The 13,569-nt window shown below is 36.8% G+C and overlaps 1 long non-coding RNA gene across 1 annotated transcript in view; it reads left to right on the top strand.

The window, feature by feature from the left end:
* LOC105374007 (uncharacterized) overlaps positions 1 to 13,569 on the top strand; it is a 175,630-nt gene that overhangs the window by 161,630 nt on the left and 431 nt on the right. Inside the window, exons 2-4 of the long non-coding RNA XR_001740463.2 lie at positions 12,585 to 12,727; positions 12,841 to 13,205; positions 13,348 to 13,467. This is a non-coding gene — a long non-coding RNA (uncharacterized LOC105374007). The remainder of the gene's footprint in view (positions 1 to 12,584; positions 12,728 to 12,840; positions 13,206 to 13,347; positions 13,468 to 13,569) is intronic.

The raw sequence follows: 13,569 nt of genomic DNA, 5'->3' as shown, positions 1-13,569 counted from the left end.
GTTACTTATGCAAATTTCTGCAGCCAGCTTGAATTTCTCCTCAGAAAATGGGTTTTTCTTTTCTATCACATTGTTAGGCTGCAAATTTTCATGCTCTGCTTTCCTTATAAAACTGAATGCCTTTAGCAGCACCCAAGTCACCTCTTGAATGCTTTGCTGCTTAGAAATTTTTTCTGCCAGATACCCTAAATCATCTCTCTCAAGTTAAAAGTTTCACAAATATCTAGGGCAGGGGCAAAATGCTGCCAGTCTCTTTGCTAAAACATTACAAGAGTCGCCTTTGCTCCAGTTCCCAGCAAGTTCCTTATCTCCTTCTGAGACCACTTCAGCCTAGACCTTATTGTCCATATCACTATCAGGCTTTTGGTCAAAGCCATTCAATAAGTCTCCAGGAAGTTTCAAACTTTCCCACATTTTCCTGTCTTCTTCTGAGCCCTCCAAACTGTTCCAACCTCTGCCTGTTACCCAGTTCCAAAGTTGCTTCCATATTTATGGGTATCCTTTCAGCAATGCCCCACTCTATGGGTACCAATTCACTGTATTATTCTGTTTTCATGCCACTGATAAAGACATACTGAAGACTGGGCAATTTACAAAAGAAAGAGGTTTATTTGAGTTACAATTCCACGTGGCTGGGGAAGCTTCACAATCATGGTGGAAAGTGAAAGGCACATCTCACATGGCAGCAGATAAAAGAAGACAGGTTGTGCAGGAAAACTCCCCCTTATAATAACCATCAGGTCTCATGAGACGTATTTACTATAATGAGAATATCACAGGAAAGACCTGCTTCCATGATTCAATTACCTCCCATCTGGTCCCTCTCACCACACGTGGCAATTCAAGATGAGATTTGTGTGGGGACACAGCCAAACCATATCAGACATAGATAAATTTATCTTCTTTTGAAGGCATGAAAACAAAAATGCAACATATTTTTGGGGGAATAGTGTTTCTTCTTCTTAACATTCCCCCACCCACAATCAGACTACTCTGACACAGACGACAGGACAGCATTGGTAGACTGGGAGCTTAGTATAGTGTAGCCACTGTCTTAGTCCATTTTATGTTGCTGTGAAGGAATACCTGAGATTGAGCAATTTATAAAGAAAGAAGGTTTATTTGGCTTATGTTTCTGATGTCTGGAAAAGCTCAGGATTAGACATCCGGTGAGGGTCTCAGACTGTTTCCACTCGTGGAAGAAGGGGAAGGGAAGCTGATATGTGCATCATGGAAGACGGGGAAGGGGAATTGATATGCGCAGACATCACACAGGAATAGAGGAAGCAAGAGAGAGAGAGAACAGAGGGGCATGCTCCTTTTAACAACCGGATGTCATGGAAACTAATAAAGTAAGAACTCACACATTAACAGGAGGGAGGATGTCACCCAGCAGTTTATAAAATCTGTCCCCATGATCCAAATACCTCCTGTTAGGCCCTAACTCCAACACTGAGATCAAATTTCAAGATGAGGTTGGAGGGTCACATATCCAAATGATAGCCGCCACCAATAGAAAATATCTGTGGAAATTGTGATTGATAGAGGAAGACAATTAAAGCAGAGGCAGTGTCATGGCTGCTGAATGGGAGACCACAGTGAAAAAAAATGGAAACAACCTGAAACCTCAGGTGGCTTATTAAGGGATGGTGTTGAATTCATTAATTAGAAAGTTCTGGAGTCTACTCAGAATTGTGCACATGTACCCTAAAACTTAAAGTATATATAAAAAAAAAAAAAAAGAAATCGTAACTAGTGAAGAAAATTATTTCAGGTAAAAGAAGTTGCTGAGAATAATTATAATTTCACTGAGAACAGTATTTTTTGACCAGTATATACTCTAGTAACAAACACTTTCACTGTCTAGGAAACAATGGAGTACTACATACACTAGATTTTTTTCTGGATGGATTGTGGTTTGTTTTTTTCCACATTCATTGTGCTGAGCATACTTAAACTCTTTAATCTATGGTTTTATGTCCTTCAATTATGGATGTTTTTCTTCTATTATTTCTTTGATAATTTACTTCTTCTTTTTTTTTAATGGAGTTTCGCTCTGTCACCCAGGCTGGAGTGTAGTGGCACGATCTCAGCTCACTGCAACCTCTGCTTCCCAGGTTTAAGCGATTCTCCTGCCTCAGCCTCCCGAATAGCTGGGACTATAGGCGCATGCCTCCATGCCCGGCTAATTTTTGTATTTTTAGTAGAGACGGGGTTTCACCATGTTGGCCAGGGTGGTCTCAATCTCCTGATCTCGTGATCCGCCCGCCTCGACCTCCCAAAGTGCTGGGATAACAGGCATAAGTTTTTCACTCAATTCCTACTAGTTGTATACTGATGTCCCATATCCATATCTGTTTTATTTCAATATTCCTTCTCTTTGGCTTTTAAGGCTGCTTTCTGGGTCATCTTCTTGATCTTCTCTTTTAAATATTCTAGGAATTTTCTTTAAAATTTCAGCTGTTTTACACCAAGGCATACAGTGATATAATGGACCTTGGTGACTCAGAAGGAGAAGGGTGGGAGGAAAGTGAAGGATAAAAAAACTACATATTGGATACAATGTACACCATTTGGTTGTTGGGTGGACTAAAACCTCAGACTTCACTACTGCTCAATTCATCCATGTAATCCATGTAACCCCAAACCACTTGTACCCCAAAAGCTATTGAAATAGAAAATATTTAAAAAAATAAAAATTCAGCTGTTTTAACTTCAATTTCTTTTTTATTTTATTTTATTTTTTACTTTTTCTGTTTTTATCACGTCTTTATTTCAAGGCAACAACATCTTCATTATCTGAAAGTATTAAGTGCTACTGTATTTAAATTTTTTTTCTCTGCATTATCTCTGTTTCCTCCAAGTTCCTTTTATTAGGTTTGTTGTGCTTTGTTTGACCTTTCTCTCCTACAGTAGTGGATTTCCTTCAATATGTGATCATCTTTGTCTTCCGCAAGAGTCAGGAACCAAAAAAGCTGATTGGAGTTCTGTGTGCATAGATACGGCATGCCAGTCAGTGAGCTTTCTTAAAAGCAATTGGATTTAAAAAGCGGTATTTTACTTTCAGATGTTACAAATGTCAATACCTGTATATCAATTTTATGTCTCCTCTAACCTTTCTCCTGGAGGCTCCTCACTGCTAATGGTCAGGTGGTAGGTTTGAGAAGAATTTAGGGTTTCACTAGTTACTGTGTAGACTTACACGTAATATCTTCATTTTCAATCCATTGCCTTGTGGCTGTCCTCCTTTGGGTTTGGTGCTTCAGCATCTGGAGCCTTGCTGATTCACTGTCTCAAAGCAAATTCCTCCCGGAGTTGTAGAAGGGAAGCAGCCACCTGATGCTGCGTTAGAGTGGGCACCTGGGTCCTAATAACTCCATAAACGGGCTTTCAAATCTCTATTTTCAGCCACCTGCCTAACTTACACCTTTTGCAGTTCTTCATGCTCCTAATTGTTGAGCCTTTCTTGAAATCCTATGTGGTGAATTGGTTTACTTTTTATCGGTTATCTCCACTTTCTCCACCATATACAGGAACTTGAATTTGACCTTTTCTTTTTTTTCCTGCTAAGATCTTCATAATTCCTCTATCTGTTTTCTTTCTTTAAATGTTATAATTTAGGATTGTAGATGTCTTTGTGTTTGATTAAGCATGGGGTTTATGTTACTGTTTCTTTAACTCTTTGATTTTTGTGTTGTAACTTTCAACAGAAAAAGGGGATGGAAAGATCTCTACTGCCCTGTCTTAGCATTACCAAGTCAATTTTCTTCTCACTTGCACAGACAAACTTCCTGACTTTTCTACAATCACTCTTTTTACTTCCTCACTTCTCACTCACTCTTCAACCACTTAGGTCTGGTTTCACACTTATCACTCTATAGAAACTATTCTCATTAAAAGGAAAAAAGTTTTAAAAATGGTTTCACTGTAGCCAAATTCAATAGACATTATTTAGTCCTGTAGTCATTAACTGCTCTTCAACATTTAGTGTTACTAATCAATTCTTGATTCCAGAAACACTCTTTCTTTGGTTTTCAGTCAGGAAGAGTTCGCTTACACTGCAATAAAAAAAATCCTTTATATTTATAGAAAATTGACCTGGGGCTCCAATCTGACTTCTCTTCACTCCTAGACATGGCTGATGAAACAGCCAGTATCTAGAACATGGCAAAATATTAAGGCAAAGGAAGAGAGAAAGCATGGCAAGTCATACACTAGCCCTTTAGCCTCCATCAGAAATAAATACATGCCTGTTAAGTTTATATTCCCTTGCCAAAGCATCTCACACCACACCACCTATCTACAAGGGAGCCTGGAAGTACAGACCTACCAAGTGCTTAAGAGAACTAAAAATAATTTGGGAAACACACTAAGGACAATCATAAGCACCTTTACCACAAACTACCTTAGTATTCAAATTGAGGCAAGCAATATGAAACAAAATACACAATGTTTGGAAATGTTATTTTATCCATTTTACCAACGGAATGAATCAATCAATTATAGCCACATACAACAGGAATAAAAATGGCTAAAATGACCACCTAGATTGTACTGAAAACTAAATGTATAAGTCCATTCTGTATTAGTAACTATCTTTGTCCATTTGTGCTGCTATAACATAATACCCAAGACTGCATAATTTATAAATAATAAAAATTTATTTTCTCATAGTTCTAAAGGCTGGGAAGTCCAAAATCAAGGCACTGGCAGGATTAGTGTCTGGTGAAGGACCATTCCTCATAGATAGGGGCCTTCTAGATGTTTTCACATGGAAGAAGCGGGGGAAGAGAACAAACCAACTCCCTGAAGTCCTCTTATAGAGGCCGTAAACCCATCCATGAGAGCTCTGCTCTCATGACTTAACCACCTCTTAAAGACTCTACCTCTTAATACTGTCACATTGCTCATTAAGTCTCAATATATGAATTTTGGGGGGCACACTCGACCATAGTAGTCTTCTTGGGCTGATATAAGAAAATTACCACAAACTGGCTGGCCTAGGAATAAGAAACACGTATTTCTTACAGTTCTGGAGGCTGCAAATTTCAGGATTAAGACATCAGCAGATTCCCTCATAGATGCTGCCTTCATGTTGCATCCCCACTTGGTGAAAGAAGCAAACAAGCTCCCTTAGGCCTCTTTTATAACACCCCTAATCCCATTCATAAGGGCTCCACCCTCATGACTAATTACCCCCAATTAGGCCCCATCTCCTAATATCATCACTTTGGGGGTTAAGTGAATTTTTTGGAGCACAAACATTTAGGTCATAGCACATCCATTTATTCAATAAATACTAAGTATTTACTCTATTTCCCATAAGTACTTTATACTTGGCACAGTGCTACATGATGGAGATTAAACAAAACATAACAGAAGTAGGGAAAAGCCATATAAAATTTGTAATTTTTAATTCTGCTTCCTAGTCATCAGTGAATTACTTTACATATGTAAAAAGCGAATCTGAACATAATGTTTCCTACAAAATAGAAATTTGAATATTTGCAAATCTGAAATAGCTATTAAGAAGAAAGTAGAACTCTTTTAGTTTAATTGCTTCATAGACTACACCAATTAATTAAGTATATTCTGGTCCTTAGAGATAGGTTATTAGGATCCCTCTTCCTTTTATTACCTAAATCAAAATCTTTCTTCAAATTAGCAATCTTATAAAAATTCTCCAAGATAGCAGTTGGCAATTTCCAAGGGAGCACAATTTTCATTTGGAAAGAACTCTCTGGTGAGGTCATTAACATTTATTAATCTCTCAAAAAAATATCACCAGGTAAACATTCACAAGAGAGGAGGTTTAGAATGACTAGGATTATATCCAGTCAGTGAATTCATATTTGGAGTGACCACCTGAAGTTCTAGACTAATTTCAAGCAATGCGTAGGAGTCTGAAACTGGAAACACAAATGCTGAGCTGCCACTCCATTCCTACTTCTTGTATACACTTGCTCTTTTTCTGACAGAAAGGAGCATGTGAACAAATGAGATAATAGCTGGAAACGTGAAGCCCTAGCCACCAAGAACAGAGAGCTCTCCAATTGTAAGAATTCTTCTAAGTATCTTTTTTTTTTAATCACAAGATTTTTCAAGTGCTTCCTAGGAATATGCTGAGATGCAAAGAAAGTTAGATGAAAGATAGTGACTGGGAGCAGACAGTTACTTAGAAGTCTTGTTATGAAATATTTTTTAAGGTGGAAAAACCATGCTAGCACTTCCCAAATCAGGCCAAATTTATTTTAGCTTATGCAGTTGTTTCCTATTGAGTCAGTGCACTATAGAAGGCAGAGACACCCAACACTTCCGTATTAGGTCAAAGAAAAGAATCTGTGACTGGAGGAGAGAGAGTGCATGAGGCTCACTACAGCATGTCAGGGCTGCCCCAAGAATCATTGTGCATGGAGATCTTACAGGGTGACTTTTTAATCTCAAGGGCAGGAAACATATGTATGAGTCAATTTACATAAATGCAAATTCATTTAAATGGTCTGTATTTGGTTACTTTCTGAAGGTTTGTGATTATTTTAGTTGGATCTTTAGGACTACAGGTGCCCTTCAAATGTAGGGCATTTTAAAAAGTGAAATATTAACACCTATTAAACAAAAAAAAGGCAAACAGAGTTAGGGCATACATATATGGTATAGGAAACTCCAATTGTCTTCAAGATATATGTGACTATAATGTTAAACTAAGATGTGTTCATTAGCATGCTCCCTAATCTAATATGCCTGAGATTCTCCTGAAGGCTTAGATTGAGATTCTAAGCAAAAGTCTAGTTTGCTAGTTAGACTGAGACTCTGGCTGAGTCCTCCTTCTAAGATAAGTCCATAATCTCACCCCTGTCCGTTATTCAGGAATATCTCTGGCTCTGTCATTAGTAGACCATCACATTTCATTAAGAGAACCAGAGGAACATAGCAAATGTCCCACCTAGACCTATTTCTTTGGTTATTCAATTTTGTTGGGGGAAGTGCAAAGGCATAAACTCCTGTGAGGAGACCGGAGACTCCAAAGGCATAAGACTTGGCCCATGATAAGTAGAAGAAAATATCCATATTAGGAAAGGGAGAGTTGCAAAGTCCAAGTTAAATATGACACCTTTGCCCCTTAAGGCTTCCACATGTGGATATGCATGCTTGATTAAGATGAAGACATTACTGGTTTCACATGGTTTAACTTGGCACTTATGAGCACCATTTCGCTTCTCAGTTTGGTTGCATGTCTGGCCAGGTTCCAATGATCTCACAGTACAAATTTTTGACATTAAATTTGTGCCTGTAAAGCATTTTAGAGATTTTTGAAAAAATATTTTTATTTTAAGAAAAATATTCAACATGAAATAAAGCACTAGCATATCTATTAATAACTTGAACTGAAACATACATACAATATAGATGATACAGAATTTCAGCTAACAGCCCCTACTATGACGTTTGCACTCAACACCTCTTTGTGTTTACAGTATGGTATTTCTCACATGTACATTTAGAGTGGGCATTTGCAATGTAACTGGCCATGCATTTTGTCTACAAATAAAACATTTAAATGAAGATAATAACATCAAAATATATTTTCAATTCAAATAAAAAATTTTACAAAACTTCAATAAACATAATACGTTCCTTAAGAAGGTGTACAAGTGTAGTGATTGAGAGGACAAGCTGCTACCAGTAACTACTTTTGTGAGCTGGGGCAAGATACTTCACCTTCTACCTCTCATTTCCTCCTTTGTAAATAGGGCAATGTAACTCCTGGAGGTCTTGTGAGGATTAATTGAGTTCATATGTATGAGAATTGCTTACAACAAGGCCTGACACATAAGTAGGGCTTCATAAATTTTGGTTGTTGCTGTTATTGGTCTATTGCAAGCACTGCCCTTGGTGTACCAGTGCAAACAAAGGGAAAGGAGCAGTAGTCCTTACCTTCAAGATGCAGAAACCTGAAATATATACAGAGAGTTATAATTCAACTCAGGCTGCAGGAAGAGTTATAACAGAGACATAAACTGCAGTTAGTAGTACTCAGGGAGGGCAGGTTTATAACAAGGGGTACATTTGATATGGGTCTTAAGGAATGAGTAAGATTTTGACAGGTAGAAGGGAAAATGAGAGAACAATAAACTATTTTGGACAGATGAAGCAGAAGATAAATTTATGGATGTAGGAGATACAAGGGACCACATGTATTACAAATTAGCTACAATGTAGTATACAGTATCAGTACAACTAACACTCTTTTCTGTGCCCAATGGCAGACTCTGCAAATCTATTTCAACATTGTTTCCTGCTGAGTCTGATTTGCTTAGAATCCTTCTTAGTGTAGGGCTCAAGAAACAAACATTACCTCTTCACCAATTTGGTTTGGGTAATGAAATCTGTTTGCTACCTCAGGTATAGGATAGCTCCAAGGTGCGGGGCAGTGGGTGGTGATAGGAGTAGATGAAGTCAAAAAGTTAAAAAATAGTAATGATTGCTATATATTCAATGTTTATTATATACCTTTATGTAGGTTATCTAATTTAATTGTCACAAAAAATATGTAAGGTAGGCATTTTTCTTTCCATTTTCAATAAATATATAAAGAAACAGATTGCAGAAGTTAAGAACCATTTCCAAGGTCCCTTAGCTCGAAAATGTGGGAGTAAGAGTTTAAACTTAGGGCTTTTAAAATCTAAAACCTGCATTCTTAATCACATTATGATACTAAATCTCATTTAAAACAACATGGAGGTAAACTGAAATCAGTCACAAGCCAGGTCTTAATTTCATGTTAATAATTTTTTAAATTTATTCTGTACATAAAGGGAAGCTATTGGAGGTTTTTGAGCAGAACAGTTTGATTAGATTTGCCTTGTAGGAAGAAAACTCTGGTGGCAGGATGAAAAATATATGAAAACTAAGGAGACTGGAGATGGGACAATCAATTTGTTGGCAGAGAAGTGGGAGTATGAGTAAAAAGGAGATAATGGAATCAAATTATAGCTTCAAAATGAAATTCATAGGACTTGCTGACTGTATGAAAAGAGGTAACATTTCTGAAATTCTGAGTTTGGCCCCTTGGCAATTGACATGAGCAGGAAGAGAGTGAGTTAAGTTTGAGACACTTATGGAATATACAGATGGAGATTATCTATCAATTTGTATATATAAGGTTTAACCTACTAAGTTTTGGTCTAGTCAAAAAAAACAATAAACAATGGGCTAATGGAACTCTAGACAGTTCCAGGATATAACAAAAATGGGCACATTTCCCAATGACATTGAAATGTGTGTACAGTGGAGGGGAGAAAATGAGAAAAAAGTTACAAGATTTAAGTTAAAAGAACAATGTGATGTTATCAGAGATATACTCCTTTTTTTCATTAACTCACTTCTTTATAAGCACAAGGTAGATTTATTGTCGTTTTCATTCTTTCATGGTAGAGAATTCTTGCCCAGTCATAAATAAACTTAGTGCTAGGGCTCTCAGCAGTCTGACCTACTTAGCTAAGTTATTATTACTATTATTATTATTGAATTTGTAGTTTAATTCTGATGAGAAAGTGTCAGAATGATAGCCCCTGGGGCTGATACACAGTAGAATACTCAATTTGTTGGAAAGCATGTAGGTTAGCAAATTTCAATTCCTGTGTTCTTTTAATCATATTGAAATTCTTGAGCATGGCAAGGTGTGAAAGGTATTTCATGTTTTTATTCCAACTCTAACCATCAATTAGAATTTATATTATAGTAATACCCAGTAAATGTTATCATTCTGAAGAATATTTCTGTGTAGCTGGCAGGTAATGCATGTATCTCCTTGTAGAACTTTAGTAAAGTAGCCAAGGCAGATAAGGAGACATAAAAAAGAGGGTAATTAGACACTAAAACCAAAAGTAGCCTACAGACATGAAAATAGATGGTGAGAAAGCAACACCCACTAATTCTTATAATAAGATCAAACTGTGGTAGTTAATAGACTTATTAATCTCTATATTACGAATACTAAATTTTCTAATAATTCAATGTAGTATCTTGCATTAAAATAATTACAGTCTTTCATAATGCAGTGAGAGTAAAAAAGTGATTTGTGTTCAACAGCCAATAGACCTTAAGATAAATTATTAACCAAATGTTGAACATGTTTCTAGGCTCTTATGGCTTATACTAGAGAACATGTTCACTAGTCTTTAGAAGTTTAGAGCGTAATAAAGTCATGGGAGATATATAATAATCATGAATGCATTCATCTGAGCAGTTGTTAAAGGGAACAGGAGATACAGCAAGCAAATTTTTTTTATTTAGAGATGATGCAAGTATTTATTACAAAGAAAGGCCTCCCTTAAAAAGTAGGTCTTGATCTTTATGCTAAAAGAATAAAGAAAAGAGAAACTCATTCAACCTCCTAAAGGACCAAGATTTGAAAATTAATCAGTGCTGTTAGTACTGTTGAATTTTTTGCATAATATCAACAAAACCTTAACTGAAATATCCTTTATTTAAAAAGTTTAAGTAAATTAATGATTAAAGATTGAGTAAAATTGGCTGGCAATAATTTTATGTTATATAAGCTCAGATAAATATGATTACTGATTCAAAACTGCAGGGAAAAGTGACAAATAATCAGGGTCTCGGCTGTAATTTTGATGCTTGGGTTGGGAGCCAGCTTCCTCAGAAATCAGCTCGGTAGATCCCTCTCCTTTCATGTCCTTGGCATGCAGAGCATCTGCTTGTCTCCAGAGTCCAGCTGTGAAGAATTTAAGGGAGGCCTCTCCCAAGGGTGTCAGTCCAAGGTATGTTCTCCATGCAGATTTCTACCAGAATCTCAATACAGCAAAGCTTACAATGTGACCATCTTTCTATTTGGACTTCTCAATAATGTTAAAGTATTTGTCATGCTCTTTCCACCTCTGCTACTATTTATTTAGTCTTTGCCTCTGAAAAGTAATGCCAAGAGGAAAATTTCCCGCATTTATTTTATTTCTAGTGTGACATCTTGCTTTGAAACCTGAGCATGTAGTATAGGCAGGAAAAGAAAAAAGAGGCTTCACACTTTTCCTCTTTGCATTAATACACAGTCTTGGGAGGAAACTCAGGATAAATGATAAAAGTCATGGGCTTAAAAGATCTTGTGGAGTGAGTTAATATGCAGTCTTAATAATAGAGGTTTTATTGTACCTTCAAAGAGAGTCTTACTAAATAATTAAAAAGAAAGTAACGAACAAAAACTGGAGTTTGAGTTCTTTATTCAGAAATTGAAAAGAAAATCTAAATTTTTATGCATTTTTTGGTTGTTGGGGCACAAAGAAAGCAGTAAGAGGTGTCAGAGACTTTTTGTTTTTAATTTTTGTACCCAAGAGGATAAAATTCAGTTATAGGTTACAAAAGAATGCATCCGGTTTAATGTTGAATAATCTTTTGGGAATGAAGGAACTGGGTATCTTGGTATAAAGTAAAGGGAGGATACTATCATGTGCTGGGATTTGACATAACAAATATATCAGAAAAAGTCATTAAAATGGAGATACACTTAAACCTGGTGAGAAAAAGGCAATAATGGGCCTTCCAAATACCACTTAAAATTCCCCATCATGACAAGAAGCTCTACATAAAAAAAAATGCTATGACCTCACTAATTTTAAAACCTACACTTTTAGAAAACTAGTGGATTTTAGTAAGGAGAAACTGAATAGCTTAAGAATGTGACAACCATGATAAGGTATCGAAAAGTCAATTTTCCTAAGGTGGTTAGCATTGACTCTGTAATGAACTAAATACTTGGAAATTTAATTTGAATTTTCCAAACCGTATGCCCAAGTGTGCATGACTGAAATGTATTTTCAGAAAGCTATAAAATAATAGTATTTCTTGACAAGGACTAATAGTCTGCTTACACAAAGATCTTTAAAAAAAATCTGAGGACTTCGAAGAATAAGTATAGAGTCAAGTATAATGCCACCATTTACAATTAGGGAGGGTTAGGAGTGGCCATTGGGAAATGATGAATCTGCAAGTTATATTGAGTCATGGTTCATATTGTTTTTTCATTTTAAATCTAGAATTCTGCACTTTTCTTTGCTTTTTTTTTTTTTAAGTTAGAAAAACTAGAAAGTCTTCCACAATTTCATTCAAAGAATATCCCCAATGTTTAAAGACTGGTATTTTATTTCAAATATCAAAAATATTTTCAAATTGTATGTATTTTTAAAATTTCTAAATAATAAAATTCCAAGACAGCTCACTTAGTGAGCACTAGGGCCATAATTCTTTGTTACTGAAAAATCTCGTGAATAGAATAAGAAAAGAGAACTGAACTTACCCTCAGAGGACTGACTGGTCAATAGGCGTAGCAGGTGGTGTGTTCAAACAGAACCTGGGGACCATAGAAGATAGGAGAGTGAAGTCCTAAAGAGGGTTGTATGGGACATGCTGCATAAAACTCCAAGACTGTAAAGAAGGTTGGGGAAAAGGGAGTCTGGGATATGAAATCTAATTTTGGAAGGAGCAAGAGAAGAACATTAAAGACAAGCGTTGCCTGCTTTACAACTTTGTATAGGCCCAGTGTTCATGATGTGCTCATGTTAACATTACAGGAAGCCAGAATGGACTGAATGTCACAGCCTTTATAACCCACACTGTGGCCGCAAGAAGAGATTCAAAGAAAAGAAGATCCTCCCTGCCATTCCTCAGTGGCTGAAGTGCGTGGCCAGTCATCATTCGCTGAGCCCTTACTAGTGTAAGACATGCTGCGGAACCATTAAGATATGCTCTCATTTAATCCTCATGCTAACCTAAGAGACAGCTAATAGTATCTATACCTCATCTCCACTTTTTTTTTTTTTCTTACAGAAGATACTGAGAATCCGACAGGTTAAATTACTTCAAAATCAAACAAAAAAAATCGTAGAACTGGGATTTAACCCTCAAAGCGTCAATTCTGAAGTTAAAGCTTTACCCCAGGGCCTTAAGACACAGGAACTAGCATCAGAAATGTCTCAAAAACATGATGCTATTTGGTTTCTACGTGCTTTAACTCAGCCCACATCAGCAGCCTCTGTTCTGGAGCAGAAATGGAAGGAAAATTCCTGGGACTTTAGTGCTTCCTGCAGCCAGCCTCAGGCCCTTTTCTTCTACAGATTCTGGGATGCAAAAATCCTACTTCTGCTCTAAAAGGAGAAAATGTGATTTGCAAGGAGAATGTAAGTCTCAAAGAGGTAAAGATGTGAATCTCTCACTAGTTTCTGCCTCTCCCCATCCTCCTCACTCACTTCCTACTTCCCAGCATCAAAGAGCATGTAAGAAAGGACAACATTTGGAGGGGCAGGGCTCTTCAGCCCCTGCTTTGCTCTTTTCTAGGTACCTCTTCTTCTTCCTTGAGAGCCATTGCCCCTTTTATCAATGTGACACAGCCCTTCGGAAACAGGCTCCTTGTTCTTGGAGCTTGGCAGGGAAAAAAAACCAAGAATTCATTTGAAGGTGAGCTAATTATTGTATCCTGTAAGGATGGCTACACTACAGTGCTGACTGTGGCATTTGCTGCTTATTAAGTATGACAGTTTATAAATGACACTAATTGGA

The sequence above is a fragment of the Homo sapiens genome, chromosome 3, assembly GCF_000001405.40.
Source record: "Homo sapiens chromosome 3, GRCh38.p14 Primary Assembly".
Classification (NCBI taxonomy): Eukaryota; Metazoa; Chordata; class Mammalia; order Primates; family Hominidae; genus Homo; species Homo sapiens.
The sequence above is the reverse complement of the archived record's forward strand: the minus strand, read 5'-3'. Positions and strand labels throughout refer to the sequence as shown.